Raw genomic sequence first — 17,900 nt, 5'->3', positions numbered from 1 at the left:
GGAGAAAATATTAGCATAGGAGAAATCATATACAGAGCTATGAAGGCATGAATATATGTTCCGGATTCTAGGAGATGAAAACTATTCCAAGGTGCTTGGAACATAGGGTAGGGGTGGGAGCAGGGTAAGAAAATGGTTTGATTTTATTTAGATGGCCATTGGGAGCTATGAGATTTAAACAGGGAAGTGCCATGGTCAGATCTATATTTTTATTTATTTATTTATTTACTTATTTATTTAGAGACAGGGTCTCTCTCTGTCACTTAGCCTGGAGTATGGTGGTATGATCATAGCTCACTGCAGTCTCAAACTCCTAGACTCAAGGGATCCTCCACCTCAGCTTCTTGATTAGCTGATAGTATAGGTGCAGGCCACCATGCCTGACTATTTTTTATTTTATTTTTTGTAGAGACAAGGTCTTGCTATGCTGCCCAGTCTGGTCTCCAATTCCTGGCCTCAAGTGATCCTCCTGTCTTGGCCTCCCAAAGTACTGTGATTACAAGTGGGAGCCACTGTGCCCGGCCAGATCTATACTTTAGAGACTGATAAGGAGACCAGTGTGGAAAATCACTAATTAGGAGAAGGATGAGGATGGAGGCAAAAAGAACTTGGAAGAAATGTAGTAGTGAGGATGGAGAGGAGGAGGATTGTTAGTTAAATTTATGACAAGTCAGATATAGGAGTATGGGAGAGGAGGGGCTGAGGATGACTCAGATTTCTGAACTGGGGGAGTTGGCCATAGGGCCATTCACCCAGTTAGGGACATAGGAGTGAGGAGCAACGTCAGAGATGAAAAAATGATGTTCGATTTTGCAGATGGATCCTGATAGAGATATCCAGTAGACAGACTGTGGGAGGGCAGAAGAGAGTGTGAGTTGTAACACGGGTTAGTGTAAAAAGCAGACATTACTGTCTAGCCTGCTAAAGTGAGAAGCAGGTTACTGTGTTTCACTTTATTTTGTTTTTGACAATTAAAATATTAAGGAGTTTTATTTTAATACCAAAAATATAAAGGAAAAAAATGCAGCACATAATCCCACTGCTCAAATAACCCCTATTGAAAGACAGGGAGGGGCCGGGCACAGTGGTTCATGCCTGTAATCCCAGCACTTTGGGAGGCCAAGGTGGGCGGATCACAAGGTCAGGAGTTCGAGACCAGCCTGGCCAATATGGTGAAACCTTGTCTACTAAAAATACGAAAATTAGTCAGGCATGGTGGTGCGCGCCTGTAGTCCCAGCTGCTCTGGAGGCTAAGGCAGAAGAATCACTTGAGTCTGGGAGGCAGAGGTTGCCGTGAGCTGGGATTGTGCCACTGGACTCCAGCCTGGGCAGACAGAGGAGTGAGACTCTGTCTCAAAAAAGAAAAAGAAAACAAAAAAAAAAAAAAAAGAGAGAGAGAGGGAGGATAATATATACTTAGAAAACACAAATCAGTTCAGACAAGTATAAAAATGAAAAGTGCAGGCCTTCCCTCAGTCCTCCATTCCCTTAACCACTGTTAACAGTTTCTTGTGTTTCCTTTGTGGAAAAAAAAAAAAGCATATACCTACTAGATTCTGAGTATCTCCAAAGGGGTTCTGCCATTTACAGTGTTTAAGAGGTCTGTTTTATTGAGCAGATTAAACTTCTCATCACTTTGCCAGCCTTCACAAACCCACCTATTTTGGTCAGGTGGACCTGTGAGCTCACTGAGGGGAAGGGGAGGGGGCGGGTTCTGTGTTTCTGTGTCCCTAGCTCAGGTATAGGGGCTGGCCCAGGGTAAGTGCTCAAAAGAATAATGGAAAGAGCTGTTTCTTCATCTGGAAATTTGGAGGGCCTTTGCTTTCAGGTCCAGTTGGTTAAATGACTCATTCAGCAAACGTTTTCAGAGTCCCGACTAAATGTGCAGCGCAGTGCTTGTTGTGTGTGTGTGTGTTTTGCAGCGGGGCGGCGGGGGGGGGCATTGTGGGGGGTGGAGGGAGGGCAGAGGACTTGGATCCTGGCCTTACTGAAGAGAAGAGCAGAACTAGAAAGGCCAGAGATCTTCCAACTTCATGCCTTTGGAGGGGGGAAGCTGAGGTCCAGAGTGAGGTTACCATTCGTCTAGAGCCACATGGCTTGTTGGCAGCAGAACCAGCTGTGACTCCACAAGAGTATGTGGTGGTGGGGGGTGCAGGCACTGAGTGAGGCGCAACCCTTGGCCTGTGTGTTATGGGCATGGTTGATTTACACCCTCTCCCTGTGAGCAGCAGAGTGGTTGGTACTGAAGGAACAGCATTGCCAGGAGTCAGGAAGCCTGGATCCCGGGGCTCTGCCACCCTCCACCACATTGACACAGGCCAGTCACGTCCTTTCTCCTCTGAATGGAGGGTGGGTCTAACTAAAACCTCAAAGTCTTTCTTACTATTATTACTCTAATTGTTAGATACTATTTTAAACAAATTATAGGAAATCCAATTTTATGATTTTGAAATTCTAAAATCCTGGTTTTCCAGGATTCTGAGGATGCTGCTTGGGGTCGGTTGTTCTGTGCAGAGTCCTGTGCTATGAACTTGACATGTTGTGTAGTCCAGAAGGGCTCCATATACATTTTCCAGTTTGAGACCAAGGTCAAAGAGACCAGACTTCAAAGGAGTTCGAAACCAGTCAGGCCCCTTGGAGCCAGCCCAGACCACCATCAAACAGTGCACAGGAGGCGCCTAGGTGAAATGCAGAAACCATTTCAGGGCTTGGCTGGATCCTTCGGTAGGCATGGCAGGTAGACCAGGCCTAGGCAAACACTGCCATTTTACACGGGAGGACTCAGGCTCAGAGCGGGGAACTGAGCCATTGCCTGCAGGCTCTGTGAAGCCTTACTGTTCTTTGTCCCGTGCTCTTCCTACACGTTGGGCAGGGCCCCCTGAGACACTGCGTGCTGTCTGTGGGGGAATCCCAGAAGGCAGGACAACAGAGTAGACCCCTAGAGTGGGTCTCAATCCCCAGATCTGTAAGGATCTCCTGGGAGCTCGCTAAAAGCCTAAGTGCTGGGGGCCTATTCCCCAAGACTCAATTGGAATATTTCCTAGTTGGGATCAGGCACCATTTTTTTATCTTTAACTTCAGAGTTTGAGACCTTTTACCCTGGACTCTTTCCGGCGGAAAACACAAAAACAAACGTAAGAAAGTGGGCTGAGAGGCCTGGGTTTGGGTCCCAAATTTGCTGCCCACTAGCTGTGAAATCTCTGCAAATTCTCCAGTGAGAGGGTTGGATTCTGCAAGAAAACTTTTCAAGCACTTTCGCATCTGTCCGCTTCGCGTTAGCAGACAGCGTCGTTCCCATCTGACGGAGGGGAAAACCGACCGGGAGAAGGGAGGATCCTGCCCGGGGCTAGTGGAGAGGCGGGCAGGGAGCCGGGTTCAGCCCGGCACTCCTCACGCCCAGCGCACTCCGCCGACCCCCGAGCCCAGCCTCTCTCGCCGCGGCGCCGCCCCGCCGTCCTGCCCGGCTCGGCCGTCTGAGAACAGCGGGCAGCGCGGGGATCCAGCCGGCCGCCGCCTGTCAAACCCTCTGCTCAGCCCCGCGTCGGGCCCCGCCCAGACCCCCAGGGGGGGATGCCCCGCCCTCGCGCCGCGATTGGCCTGAGCCGGGCGGCCGCGGCCAGCCAGTGGCTGGAGCGGCTGTTGGGCAGACGCGGGCCCGCCCCCGTCCCCCGGGGAACCGCCCCGCAGGACGCGGCGGCGGCGGCGGCGGCTGCGGCGGCTGCGGGGGCTGCTGCGCCAGTGGAGGCGCGCCGAGCCGGGCGCCCAGCGATCTGCAGCTGCCGCTGCGAGGTGAGAGGGGGCGCGGCCCGCGGCCGAGGGAGGGGCGTGTGCGGGGCCCGAGATCCGAGGCTGGCGTCCCGGCGACGCTCGAACCCCGGCAGCTTGGGGATGGCGCAGGGAGCGCGGAGGGGAACGGAGAGTTTGGGGGCCCCTGATGGAAGGGCTGAGGGAGGCTCTGTCGCGGCCCCCATCGCACGCGCGTGTGGCGAGAGCGTGGGACTGTGTGGTTGTGCGCTGCTGAGCGTCTGACCAGCGGCAGTGTGGGTGGCGTGTCCGTCCCCGGGCGTGCCTCGGCGGGTGTGCGGGTGTGTGGCGGCGGCCGCGTGGGCATTGCCCACTGTGCCGGTTTGCGCGCGCGACGGGCTCGATTCCTCCGCTGCGCATAGGAATGTGGGTGTCCCGGCTGCGCGTGATGGGTTCGCGTCGCAGGATTCAGCGCCCAGCTTGGGACTCCTGTTTTCCAGGTTCGGGTGGTCGCGGGTGAGTCTCTGGGGGTTTCCCTCGGGCCTTTGGGTTCGGGTCCCCAGCTTCTGCGCGCAGCTCGGCCCCGGAGAGTCGACGAAGCGCGCAGCCCGTGACCTACCCGGAGCCGTCTCCGGGGCTTCGCCCGAGCCCTGCTCTGGGAATCCTCGTTGCCGCCGGCTCCGTGTTCCACTGGGGGACGCGGAACAGGCGCCTTACCCGCTCCAGGCCTCAGTTTCACCATTCGTGCAAAGGAGGCTGGTTTCGGTGGAGGAGGATTTGGGTGGGACTTCGCGGTAATGCGCCGCGGCGCGGGGGCCTGGGGTCCTCCCCACACCAGGGAAGGGCGAACCGCTCCTGAGCGAGGGGGCTTTTGCGTGGAATCAGGTGGGTTTGACCTCTGATTGGGCTAGGTGTCGTGGTGCTAACCTATGTTAAAGACGCGCAATCCACCGAAGGGGCAGTGACCTGCTCAAACTCGGCCCCGGGACAATACGGGGGCCGCTTTCCGCATTCTAACTGGCTGTGCTGTCTCCCCTCCCCAGGAGCCCGGCGCGACCCCCAGCCGTGCGCCCCGCCCCGGCGCCATGCATTGCGAGGTGGCTGAGGCACACTCGGACAAGAGGCCTAAGGAGGCCCCTGGTGCGCCCGGCCCCGACCGCGGCCCCGCCAGCCTCGGCGCGCACATGGCCTTCAGGGTCACCGTGAGTGGCGGCGGCTGCGGGGACAGGGGCCCGCGGGACCTGCTAGCCCGGCCGCCTGCGCCGCCACCGCGCGCCCACGACCTCCTCCGGCCCCGCAGTCCCCGAGACTACGGTCCATCCAAGGCCGCCGCCGCCGGGAAGGGTGAGTTCGGCCCTGCCAACGTGCCTGGCGGCTCCTGTGGAGATTCGGGCTGCCCGGCGTCGCCACCGCGTGCTCGGGAGAGCTTGGTGGAACTTTCTTCGGAGTTCCTCAGTTTCTCTCTTATTGTTTGGGACTAGCTTGTCAGTGTGAAAGTATGCCTGCTTTGCGAAGCATCTAATTTAAATTCAATTAGCCCCGTTTGGGGAAATGTGTTTATAGAAAGCTCTCAGCTTACATAATTTTGCTTCTGTGTGTTTCTGATAAAGCTTGCATAGAAACTTGTCAAAATTTTATTATACATGAGGGCGAATAGCAACGCATATATTGGTATCTGTTTCTGAGCAGCTCAAGGCATAGTTTGAAGTATTTCAATCTCCTCAGCTGACAAAACCCAGAGGCCTTTAGCAAGACCCCTCTCCTTTTGGGACCTCAGTTTCCCCATCTGTCAAGTGAGGAATTAATTAAACCAGATGATTTCTGGATTCCTGATGGAAAATTTTCTGCATCAGCAATCCAGCCTAGTCACGTCCTAACTTAAACATGGCTTTTCTGTACTTGGTGCTTCGGCAGCCTAGTCTTGGGTCACAAGCTCCTTGGCAAGTCCCTTCGTCCCCCAGTGAAGCTGGCCACGGGAAGGTGGGGGTCCCAGTATGGCTTATGGGCTCAAAGTCGGAGATGGTGCTGGGATTTTCAGGAACATGCTCTTCTCATCACAGTTAATTATTATTGAGTCATTATTTATGAGTTTCGTGCTGACAGATAATTAACCAGGAATTGGAGAAATTGTTAAGATGCTGTGTCCTCGTCCTCCCCCCTTTTTTTTTCCCTTAGGGGAAACCAAGGCTTTGGGGTTTGACTATATCTGCATTTGGAACCTCTTGGTTCTCATTCCAGATGATTCTCAAGGAAGACAAAAACAGTTTGGGTTTTACGGTTATAGGCATCACTTCCTAGCATCAGCCTCACAACTCGGAAGGGGTAGGCAGCCTACTTTTAGAGTTGAGAGCTCCTTGTGGATCAAAAACACCCAACTCCCTGGTTCAGGGATTAGTAAAATGAAATAAACATAAGTAGTTTTTTTCTTTTTTGAAGAAAACACTTGACTTTGTAAGAGAGAACTACTTCTCATCTCCTTGTTTTAGATGCCAGCCTCTTTTTCAAGGGATAGAGATAATATTTTAGAAGGACAGATACAGTGGGGAGGGGCGGGAAATGCCTGCTGAGTGTTATTGCTGGAATACACACATATGAGGTCTCTTTTACCAGAGAGGAGCGCTGCGCAGCGAGACATGAGTAATGTTTGCTGCCGGGAGCTCCCTGGCTTGCCCCGCTCCATACACAATCCTCCCTTAAATAGATACCCTCCTGCAACGTTCTGTGTTTAAAAAAATCATGGCTGTCCTCTGAAGATCGAGTTCTCTGCAGACCTAGCAAACAGCTCTCCCGAACATAATCTTTGTTCCACGCTATGGTGAGACCTTTCACCTGGGGGCTTTGTGTACGATCTTCCTACTTCCATTCCCCCTAACCCCAGTTATTTTTACGCACGCCCCCAAACATGTCCAAAATAAAAGATCTTTAAGTCAGGATTCCATTTGGAAAGGGCAGAGGAGAATAAAGGGATGGGAGGAAGAGCCTCTTTCTTTGTACCTTAAGCTGGTCTCTCTGGTGAAGCTTTTTTCCAAGAGGTTTCACAACTTTTCTTCATAGCCTCCCAGTGAGGCTGTTGTGGTGGGATGTATCCCACTCATTTGAAGGGTGAGGAAACTGAGGCCTGAAGGTGGGAAAGTGTTTGGTATGTGTAGGGCAGTGGTTAGGGAAGCCACAGCTCTGGCCTAACCTGGCCTAGGGAGAAAGGGAAGGCTCAGGGTCCTGGGCTTGGAGAGGTTTCCCTGCTGGCCTCTGTGTTGCTATAGGCAAGCTTTTCCTCACAGTGCAGTCACCAAGTGGCCCGAGACAAACCCAGCTTTCCCCCAGTTCTTCAGCGTCCTTAAAAATGCTGCGAGGAAACGGCACCTTCTTACTGCCCCTACTCCCACCGAAATAGTCCCAGACCATGTAACCCTTTGAATATTTGGTGTCTAGCTCCAAGTTCTCAGGCTTATTGGAAACAGACAGAAATACCAATTGAAAAATATGTATTGACTGTGCTGGGAATTGTGAGACCCCACCATCTATGATCTGTGGCACTTGGGGGAATCGATTTTACTCTTCTGAGCCTTTGGTTCCTTCGTTTGTAAATTTACCCTGAGACTTAATTCGCAAGACTGATGAGATCATTAGTGATAAAGAATGTGCAAGGGCCACCTCAGTGCCTGGTTATTTTTAGGATTACTACTGTAACCTGTTTCACATTCTCAACCTCTGGGTTTTCATTTGCGTGAGAGGTAATGGTGCCTACCTTGCAGGGTAAATAAAACAAGAGTTGTAAGAATGCCTTATAAGCTAAAAAGGTAGAAGGAGGCACTTTTATTAATTCGTGCAGGGCCCATGCAAGGGTCAGTGACACTTGAGATAAAGGGGACAGAGTGAGAAGGAAGCAAGGTTACATTTTTAAAATGCTGAATGTGAAGGGTGCTAACTGTGGTGTGCTAGCCAGGGGAGGCTGAGAGGTGCCAAGCTTCAGGTCTTTTGTGGCCACAGCTGCCCAGTGACCGGAGAGAAGACAGTATGGCTCAGCCTGGGGTCAGGTTTCAGATGCTCTGCCGCCTGCCTCAGACAGTCCCTAAGCAGAGGAAGAGAGTGGGTTCTTGAACCTAGTAGTTTATCCATAAATGTCTGGGGCCTGTGTATTTGATCTGGAATCGGGAGGCACTGGGATGGTGTGATGTCATGGACTAACATTGTCATCATTTACAATAAGAATCATGATCTGTTTATGGCAGAGTCCCGTTTATCCAGATTCCAAACAGCTGGAAAAGCCAAATTGCCAGATGCTGCATTTTTCTTTCCTATTATTAAACACCCGACACTCTGCTTTTATAAGTCCTGACAAGGAAAGAAGGTAAACATCTGGGCTTTATGCAGGCGGACAGCTTTGTGGTGATGGCCTGATGACGCTTGTTCTCTGTGCACGGTGCTTTACAGTGTTCAGAGCGTGTTCCCACACATCCTCTTGTCTGCCCTCACGCCAGCTGGGCTCTGCCTGCCTTGGGGGCTCTTGTGAGGGAGCAGATGTAGAAGTCTGTAAAGTGCTGGGCAGATACTGGCTGTTATTAATGTGATTCCCATTTTATAGATGCAGACATTAAGGTTCAGGGATTTGCTCAAAGCTGCAGACAGTAGGTGGCAGTTTCCAGGCTTCCAGCTGCAAATATTTGATTCTGGTTCCACAACTTGTACCTTCTACATGTGTGTGTTGGCGGCCGAGAGCTGGCATTCACACGAAGGCCTTCTGAACGTTCCCAGAGAATTTAAAAATGTCTTTTGCTTTTGGTATTTCTACTGTCTCACATCTTTGGGAATTGGTAACTAGTATCTATGCCATAGTTAGAAAACTTTATAGTTTACCACATGATTCCATTTGTCCAGAGTTGCTGTTCCCACACCAAACCAGATAATGAGGTCACTATTTAATTTACAGTGACTCACTGGGCCCTTTCACTGTGTACTGAGACTGGATGCATCCTTGCAATAAAAAAGAGGTTGATCACGACAAATGTGAACCCCGCCGTTATAAAAACAGCCATCATGGCTGTAAATGCCAAAAAGCAGTCAGTCTTGTAACTTGAAAAAAAAAAAAAAGGAATTGTAGATTGTGCGCATGGACTCGGAGTGGGGGCGGTGGACAGTAAGTCATGATGTTTTGGTGGTACCACCTGGTTGAATTTCTTCATCTGAATAAGAAGCTCCTGTGATGTTCTGGGGAGGCCTTGGAAGGCTAGCGCATCCCTCATAGAAAGGTATGAGTGACTTTTAAAGCATTTCTCCCCTCCGGCTCCGGTGGGCAATTTGCTTGCATTTCATCCATTTTAAAGTGCTGGTCCTGCGATCCGGAAATAATCAGATCCAAATTTTTTCAGTGCATGAAGTTTCAAATAAGGGGGAGAAAAACCTGCTGGCCAAATGTCAGGCTCAGTGAGACAAAGAGAAACAAGTATGTGTGTGGGTAAAAAATGAGATAGGAACATGTTGCGTCTACAGTCATAAGAGTTATGTATCCGACAAATCTTTTATAGACATGTAGCGGAAATATAATTCCCAAAGATTCCCTAAGAATCTCGGGCGGCTAGAATTCCTCTTCCCTTCCTGCCTCTCAAGCTTTCTAGAAGCTAGGACTCTGTGGGCAAAATGGCAAGGGGACCATCACGTGAGATCGTAATTTAATTTAGGCTTAGTTGTTTCTGAGTAGTTTACCTGTAGCGTGCTTAGCTGGACTGAGGTCTGCAGAGCTTCAGAGCTGTGGAATCACATCGATAGTCTATGTTGCTCCATCTGTGATTTAAAAATGTAAATTTCTTTATATGCTATGATTTTTCTTCATCCTTCTTTTTCTGAAAAACAAAAAACAAAAAACAAAATGAACCTCATCTCAGAGTTACTCATCTCCCTGCGTTTCATTTGCGTGAGAAGCTTAGTGAGCCAGCACACTTATTTTTACAGTGCGTTAAAATCCCATTACAGGCATAAGTGCACAATGAATCACTTAAAAAAATATATTCTTATGTTCTTTGTTCTGAATGTTGCATAATTATCATCATTTTCTTCGGTTTTACTTTGTGGAGTTTGGCCAGTATCCTGGAAGAGGGGAGAAACTAAAGTTTGGGACAGGGTTTTCAATCTGTTTTGGATAGGATTAGGGGAAAAAATAACAAACAAATAAACTTTATTGGGAAGTCGACCAGTGACTATCGCTGAGGATAATTTCCCTTCCTTCTCTCAATTGTCTTGGAAAAGAATTCTGTTTTCAACACGATGTGGTAGTATTTCAGCAACCTCACCTTACATATACGGTTATATTCAAAGTTAAATTATAATGTGTGGTTTGTTATTTTTTTTTTTTTAATATAGATTTCCGTTGCAATTATTTTGGACCTAGAGAATTGTGTGGTTTCTTTTGGTGGGGGGTAGTTTATTTTTATATTTAAAGAAACAAAGACATTCAGTTCAAGGGGGAGAAGAAATGAAACAAAGTTTGCAGTGGGCTTTGAAAACTTGGACTGCATTATGCAAAAAGCACAGCTGTAATACCAGGGCCAGGAAAAAAGACCAAACTCCTGAAATATTTGTGCTGCTCGCCTTCACTGTGCTAATGATTCTAGCAGTTTAAAAACGGACTTCTTGTTTATCAGCAGCCACTGCCCAAATTAATAGTTTACAATGAAAAAAAAAAAAAAGCTTTCAGCATTGGAAGCAAAGTCCAGGGACTGACAGCTGAGTTACTGAGTAAGGAAAGCAGAAAAGAGGGGGAAAAGTAGTTTTGTGGCTACTTTGGTCTCCCAAAGCCATATTTATAAGAAACTGAAAGAAAGCCGAAGGCTGGGCTGGGTAGGGGTGGAGAGAATACAACCCTAACCCAGTGGTCTCAGAGTTGAAAGTCACTTAAAGCATGTTTTCTTCTTTTGCCCTTTTTCCCCCTTAAACTCCAAAGGATTATTCCTTCAGTAGGTTTCCGGTGGATCGAGGCGGATCGTGTTAGCATTACGAGCTGTGTTTTTAAAGTTAGCATTTGAGTCAGATGCGCTGAGAAGAGACCTTTAGTCTGTTAACTGAATAACGCATTTCCTGGATGGCCTGAATTTATTTGGTGGTTATGGTTGGGCCTGCCTGGAGCTAACACATGAGCCATTGTGTAGCATCTTTGCAAGTGGGCCGTGCCCTGTGCTTTGAGCCTTGGTTTTCCCATCTGTAAAATGGAGAGCAGTTCAGTTGGATGATCCATAGTCCCTGCCTGCTGATACTCCAGGATTCCACACTGACTGGGCTGGGAAGGTTTGGAAGGATCTGGGGTGTAGGAAGAGGCCACTTTTGTCTCAGACCAGGTTATACACTGGAACTCTTGACTGCTAAAGATGAACACAGAAAGAATGGGGAAGAGGGAGGTCAACTAACCTTTAGTGAGCGGCTGTTCTGTGCCAGGTGAGATGCTTTAGAGACGTGATCACATTTAATTATGCCCAGCAGCCCTAGGAAGAAAGGAGGCACTGTTCTAATTTTAAAGATGGGGGGACTGAGGCTTGGAAAGGCAAAGTGATTTGTCCAAGGTTGTGCATGTAGTAAGCAACAGAGCCTGGAATTTGAACCCAGGTCTGTCTGACAGCAGAGCCAGTACTTTCCTCTGAAAATACACCACTCTCCAGGACCAGCTTCTTAAACCCAGGCGGCTGGGAAGGAGAGGATGCGGCTCTAGAGAGCTGCGCGCCCCCAAGGAAGCCCAAAGGAAGGCAGCAGGAGGCTGCAGGGGGCCCAGACAGCCACATCCCAGAGCACCCCTTTCTCAGTCTCAGCCAACAGGCTGAGGTGCGACTTACAGGGGATACTCTGCCTCCGTAGGGCACTGCTCCTCTCCCCCTGCAGAACTAGGGAAAGGAGAATGTTCCCAGTGACTCAGGATCCTCAGGAATCTGGGGTCTGGAAAAAGACTCTCTGAGGCCATGGAGGGGGCCCCTAGGAGGGACCGCTTCTCAGAAGCAGTGGCAACTCCCGTCCTGACTGGTTATTGCAGGTAGTAGTCCCTGTCTGAGTCTTTCTTGCCATATGGGGAGATTCCTTGCCAAGGCCCCGGTCGTAGTCTCCCCTCTATGGCTTTCAAAGACATCTGTTGGACGAGAATTCCTCAAGATCCCCACCATGCCTGGTTATAGAATACGTGCTTCCCCAAGCATGTTGGCTCAGGGATCTATTAAACAATTATTTCTTGTTAAACACTTGGTGGGATGAAGTAGGGCTTGGGAGGGAGAACAGGCTGGGGATCAGAGTGAACTTGAGAGTTTGCTTGTGAGAAATGGGTCTTTTGTGTCAAATGATGAATGAGCTAGATGACCCCCCCTATGGAAGGTAAAGGTCCCACGGCTGGTTGCATCTGTGGCCTTGCACGTGCATTCATGAGAATGTGTACATTCTCAGGGAGTCATACTGATTCTGAAGATGGACTTGCAGGAGCCGTTCTGGTCCGAGGTGTTTTTGCCTTCCTACGTGCCGCTGTGTCTGAAGGGGAGTGAATGAAGTACAAGGGATGGCCCTGCCTGCCGTACAGCCCAGCCTGTTCCTATTTGTGTCTTTTTAGCAACCAGATTACTCTTTTAGATGTTACCTTTGTTTTTAAATAACAGGTTTGCTAGAAATCAGGCTTTAGCAAGAAACCAGGGAGTACTATAAACCTGACTTGAAAAATACAGATCCCATTTGCTGTTTTAAGCTCTCCGGAGGACTGGAGATTGGGTTTATTTTGGAACGCTGCTGGACTATATGAATTACTTCTCAGAGGGTTGGGTATTTAATACCTAGTAGAAGTTTGTGTAAGAGTTGATGATGTATTTTGCCAACTTTCCAACCCTGTAAATAAATTACACGTGCCGGCAGAGGTTGCCAGGATCCACTGTGTCAGTTGGAGCTTAATTTTTATCCTAAACCACCGAATACTTTTGTCCTAGCAAGCAGAGAAAGTTACGGAGTTTTTTGCTTGTCACTGGGCCCATCCCAAGACGACGGTTTAAAGAGCCTGAGAATAGGCCTCCGCGGAGTCACTGATTTTGACACCGTTTTCGGTGGTTAAGTAGCTTCAGCAGTCTCAAGTCCAACCCTCAAGGCAGAGAATGATAATATAATTTTAAGCATATCGTAAAAATGAAACTCAATCACTTCCACTCCCCAAACCTGTCTCACTCCCCATCTCTCTGGAGAAAACGGCTGTAATTGTGTGTTTAATCTCAAGACTGCCTTTGCATTTTATCTTATTTGAGTGCAAAGCCCAGGTAATATCGTGGCATTTCCAGCGCGAAACAAAATAGGGTTTCTAATTTGGAGACACTATTAAATATTTCATGCTTCAACCAAACTCAATTCTTTTTTCCTATAATAAGTTTAAATATTAATTCTCTGGAATGTCAGATGCCTAAAGCAAAGCATTTAGTGATCTGCAGTTTCAAGTATCTCGAAGAAGGTTTATGAAACAGGATATTTCACTGGGAGGGATGAGTAGTGTGCTTCAGAGATATGTGAATTCAAGGCATCGTCTTCTGATTTATTTTTTAAAGGGAAAAGGTCATAAAATAAGTTGCTTTATGTGCTGATGGATTAAGTGGCTTAGGCTGAAATAACAGCAGGAACTTTACTATTTTTCCCTGTTTTAACAATGCTTTTTGGGGGAGGGGGGTGGGTCTTTTTCCCGCCTGCTTGTCTCCTCCCTCCGTACCCCCCGTCAACCCCAGCCAGATGGCTTTAATTCTAACCAAATCCCACGCTGAGGCCAAATGATTGATCAAACAGTCATTTGTACTTACGGAGCGCTCTTTGTGAGAATATCTCTGTGCTAGGGCTTCTCGTTGAGGCAGGCTCTTCTTTGGGCCTTCAAACGGATGATTTCAAACAGATCGAGCGGCTTGGTGAGGAGGGGTCCGCGGGTGGATGCGGAGCAAAAATCCCAGACCTCAAGTCCGTAGAACTTCTCGCTTAAAACCTCTGTGTTACTTCCCATCCCTGACAGCAGGGGTATCCAAATGTTCTAAGTATAAGGACAAAAATCTTTCCACTGTCCACGTGACAGCATCTATACTTTTAGTATCTCTTGAAGCAGAATATACCTAATGAGGTTTAGGTAACTGCTAATTTCAAGAGCTCTTTTAAGTAGATATGTACTTTATCCACCACGACAGCATCTACACACATCTGTAGAGACATCAGTTTGTCCTACAGATAGTTCTTGGTACATGCTTTAAAGATCTGTGAAATTATACTTGGCATGTAGATTGACAGCCAGCTGGCCAATGGGAAAAATCTGAGCCCTTTGATCTGGCATTCAAGGCCTTTGTGCCGGGCCAGTTCCATCTCTTGCTGATGTCTGCTTGTGGCAGCAGACTTTTCCTTATGCGGCCTTAGACCTGGAATTTACTCTTTACCTGGCCTTCTTTTCTTATAATCTGTGGGCTTCTTTTTATTCATCTTTGTGCCTCCTTAAATCATTTTTGGAACAAGTGGAAAAATAGATAATATTCAAAGATTCATCTTTGTATTCTTGTGTCCAGCACAAAGTCTGGCATGAAGTTTGTATATAAGAAATGTATAGGGTGCTGATTGAGGGCATGGGTGTGGAACCAGGCCACTAGGTTCGAATCCTGGCTCTGTGTACTAACTTGGGGACCTTGGCAAGTTAGGGAGCTTTTTGGGTCTCAATTTTCTTATCTGTGACATGAGGATAATAATAGTAATGATCTCCAAGGCTGTTGTGAGGGTGGAATGTGTTAACACATGTATAAGTGCTTAAAAAACAGACTGGCACATGGTAAATGCTCAATTAATCTTGGGATTATAATAATTATTATTGTTAGGACTACCATGTAAATGGTAAACAGAACCTCTAGGAAGGGCTTTCCCTCCCTTCCATTCCACCAGATTGACCCTACTGATTCTTTAAGACCCAGCTCAAATGCCACCTCCTCTTTGAAGTCTTCCCTTTCTTATTACCCTTCCTTTTGCCATAGCCCTGCTCATACTCTATGGCAATTTCCTATTTACTTATGCGTCCTTGAAGACAGGGGCAGAGTGTCATTATCCTTGAACCCCGTATGGCCAGCACAGGGCTGGCTCCAAGTGAGTGTCCAGGAAGTTTGGGAATGAAGTACAGCCCAGTCTCAAGGAGCCTGTAGCCTGTAAAGGAGGAGCTGTGTTTGATGTTCTTGTTTTTCCTGCAAGGTTGAACATATGGTAAGCTCTCAACACATGTGAGATGCCAGTAAATTCTTTTTCTTTTTTCTTGCCCTGTCTTATGGTGCTGAGATGCCAGTAAATGCTGCATGAGTTCTCACATGCAGATACCATCATGTTTTCTTTCCAACACTGTCTTGAGGCTCTTCAAAATAAGGTCTGCCCCTTGATTGCTAGTGACCCTGGGGGAGTCTCCTCACTCAGCTGGGCCTCCCTCTCCCCTCCCTCTGGGAAGGATTGGCTTCAGGGCTTGCAGGCTCTTTCGTTGCAAGCCTTTGGAGCTGCCAGGCCAGGGGCCAGGTGGAGGAGCTTGGGGCCTGATGACTGTCCTGCAGTGACTGACCATTGGCCTCTTGGCCAGGATTGGCGCTTTTTGTCACATGTTTATCCTCCCTTTAAGACAAAGCCCCAAGTACTGTGACACGCGTCTCATCTTGTGGCTTAAAGAGCAGCTACGAGTGGTTGCTACACGTCTCACCCAGATTTCTCTAAGATGAAGAGGAACCTTAGACCAAATGTTGGAATTGAGAGCTGGGAGCCAGAGGATGGTAGCTCTTGGTGACCCTGCTGGGGTGGTGATTGGTGTCCACACCCAAGATCTCCACTCCAGGACAGGCTTAGAGCCCCTGGGGGATGTATTGGTCTCATGGCCCTTCTCTGGGCACCATTTTGGGCTTTGTAAACTGTAAAGCTTTCCAGAAATCATATTATTCATTCAAGCCCCCTTTGGGTAGTTGGGAAGACTAAGGTTCAGAGAGGTCATGTTACTTATCCAAAGGCGGCCACATGGCTTTTAGAGTCGGAACTGAGTTTGGATCCTGACTACATTACCTGCTAGGCCTTAGGCAAGTTCGTTGAACTCTGAGCCTCAGTCTTCCTCATTTGAAAAGTGGAGATAGTTCCTGTCTCATGGATTGCTAGGGGGATTAAGAGGAGTGCCTGTAGAACACATAGCTCAGGTGCTAGTGCACAGCAGGTGTGTCCCAGAGGTGAGCTGTGGTTGTTAGTCTTTGTGAGTGGAGAGCTGGGCTAGGTCCCAGGCCTGACTCTGTCTGATGTTGTTTCTCCTCTGCACTGTAGTACTTTATTCCCAGATTCTGCTTTTTAATTCTTTTTTGGTGTAATTACAAGAATAAGGACTTTGGGGTCAAACTGAGGCTTGAGCTGCAGAGATGGAGGATGCAGGTCTGGCTGGTGGGCATAGTGGTTTCCCCTAGGGCTGGGGGAGGTTGGGGAGGGAGGAGGGTGTGGGCTGCCTCGGTGCATCTCTCTGACAGGTCCTGGCCCTGGGTCAGTCCAAGATGCTTGTTCAGCCTGTGGTGTCCAGTAGGATGAGGGTTGTCTGTTGAGTGGGTCTGGAGGCACACCCCCACCTCTTCCCTAGTTTATTGGGCTGGGAGTTGCTGTCAGACTCCAATATCCAGAGGAATTACCTTGATTCTTCCTCTTAAAACCTAAGATGCCAGGACTACCCTGTTCCCCACGTCCCCATGCCTGCCTGGCCCTGCAGTAATGTAGTGGCTTCCATCTGTTGAGTCCTGCTGTGAGTAGACGTCCCATGAGGCCATTTAATTCTTTCTACATTCACTCCTTGCGCAGTGGGTGTTAGCATCCTTATTTTGCAGATGAGAAAGCTGAGGCCTGGAGAAGCTAAATGATGTGCCCGGAGTTCTAGAGCTGGTAGGTGTTAGCTGCCGACCTACCCGCCCCTTCTACACACCTTGCCACCTGTTGGACCTTCCATCAAGGCCTTGGGTCCAATGTTACCCACTCATCACAGTCAAAAAACTTCCTCCTCCAGCCAGAATTAACCCGTCCTTCCTTCATTGTCTGACTGCTGTTTGTCATTTATCTCTCATGAAAGAGTCAGGTGTTCCAGATGCTTGCGTTCATTTTTCCCTTCCCCATGAAACTGTGGGCTTCTTGGAAGCAGGATATGTCATGAACGCATCTCTGACTTGCTGATAGAGGATAGAGCAAAGGATAGAAAGAACACAGCACCCTGGCAGGATGAATCTGCCCCTCTCCAGTCAAGGTGGGGCTTCTTGGGAAGTTCTTGAAGCAGATTTTCAGTACAGCAACTCAGAGTGGCTCTCAATTTTTGAGACTCAGTTCCCCCTTTTAAAATGGGGGAATGACCCCTGTCTGGCCAATTGTTAGGGGCAGATGGGATGAAGTATGTAGAATTAGCCTGAAAACTGGAATGGCTGTACCTGTGTTTGGCTGGTGGTTGGTTGGTTTATCCATATTTATCGGATGCCCGCTGTGCTCCCAGTGTTGGGTTCTGCCCTGGGACACCATGGAGAACCAACAGATGGAGCCCTTGCCTCCTCGGAGCTCGCAGCCTGGAGGGTCGGTGTTTGCAGGTTCCCCCTTCAGGCTGGCCGGGTTTCCAGGCCTCTGTGCGGCATCAGCACCTTATCATTTGCTGTCTGTCCTAGGCAGACTCCAGTTCTCCAGCCAGTCTCAGCCTCATGACCTCAGACAGTCTCACCCAGCCTTGGTCTGCTGAGTCACAGAATGGAAACTGGTGCTCACTCCCCTGGCCAGGGTAGCATGAGAATCAGTGAGGTAGGGTGGAAAAGGGCTCTCTAGGTGGCTAACAATTGGGAACTCTAGGACAGGTCAGAACTTGAGTTTGCAGACCAGCCCTCTACAGGACACTGGTGGACACAGAGTGTTAAATCCTGGGCTTGAGGACTGCTTTGGGCAGCCCTTTTCTTGTACCTGTTGCCGATTCTGGTGGCTTAAGCTTTCTTCTTGGAGTGAATACCTACTCATTGTCTCAGGCAATACAGGCCAACAACTTTCCTCTTTCAGCAAGTCTGCAGGGTGTCTCCTGTCCCAGCTTCATACCTCTCCCTCCCCACTCTTCCCATTCCCACTCTCTCCATGGCTCTGGCTGCTATGCACTCAGAATACGGAAGAGCTATTTGCTGGGGTGGGGTAGA

The 17,900-nt window shown here is 48.8% G+C and overlaps 1 protein-coding gene across 11 annotated transcripts in view, besides 4 other annotated features; it reads left to right on the top strand.

Annotated features, from left to right (window-relative positions):
* Positions 3,381 to 3,730: a silencer, noted in NCBI's record as "silent region_911". NCBI's record gives its function as "represses an Ori minimal core promoter by ATAC-STARR-seq in GM12878 lymphoblastoid cells {active_cell/tissue: GM12878}" and the evidence as "EXISTENCE:reporter gene assay evidence [ECO:0000049][PMID:35858748]".
* Positions 3,381 to 4,314: a biological region, named in NCBI's record as "H3K4me1 hESC enhancer GRCh37_chr1:54204253-54204971".
* Positions 3,596 to 4,314: an enhancer, noted in NCBI's record as "H3K4me1 hESC enhancer chr1:54204253-54204971 (GRCh37/hg19 assembly coordinates)". NCBI's record gives its function as "activates a minimal SCP1, AML or CMV promoter by ChIP-STARR-seq in naive H9 embryonic stem cells {active_cell/tissue: H9 hESC(naive)}" and the evidence as "EXISTENCE:reporter gene assay evidence [ECO:0000049][PMID:30033119]".
* Positions 3,730 to 17,900, top strand: part of GLIS1 (GLIS family zinc finger 1) — a 232,926-nt gene continuing 218,755 nt past the window's right edge. For 6 of the 11 annotated variants that reach the window (XM_017000409.2, XM_017000411.2, NM_001390838.1 and 3 more), the window contains exons 1-2: positions 3,730 to 3,789; positions 4,788 to 5,088. In XM_017000409.2, coding sequence (XP_016855898.1) covers positions 4,830 to 5,088 — 259 coding nt within the window. In that variant the 5' untranslated portion in view covers positions 3,730 to 3,789; positions 4,788 to 4,829. Of the gene's footprint in view, positions 5,089 to 8,690; positions 8,991 to 17,900 lie in introns of those variants that run through there. The other 5 variants (NM_001390837.1, XM_047447085.1, XM_047447071.1 and 2 more) reach the window with 4 other exon arrangements.
* Positions 3,741 to 3,910: a silencer, noted in NCBI's record as "silent region_910". NCBI's record gives its function as "represses an Ori minimal core promoter by ATAC-STARR-seq in GM12878 lymphoblastoid cells {active_cell/tissue: GM12878}" and the evidence as "EXISTENCE:reporter gene assay evidence [ECO:0000049][PMID:35858748]".

This window comes from Homo sapiens, chromosome 1, assembly GCF_000001405.40.
Source record: "Homo sapiens chromosome 1, GRCh38.p14 Primary Assembly".
NCBI lineage: Eukaryota > Metazoa > Chordata > Mammalia > Primates > Hominidae > Homo > Homo sapiens.
Note: the sequence above shows the minus strand (reverse complement) of the source record. Positions and strands in the feature narration are given on the sequence as shown.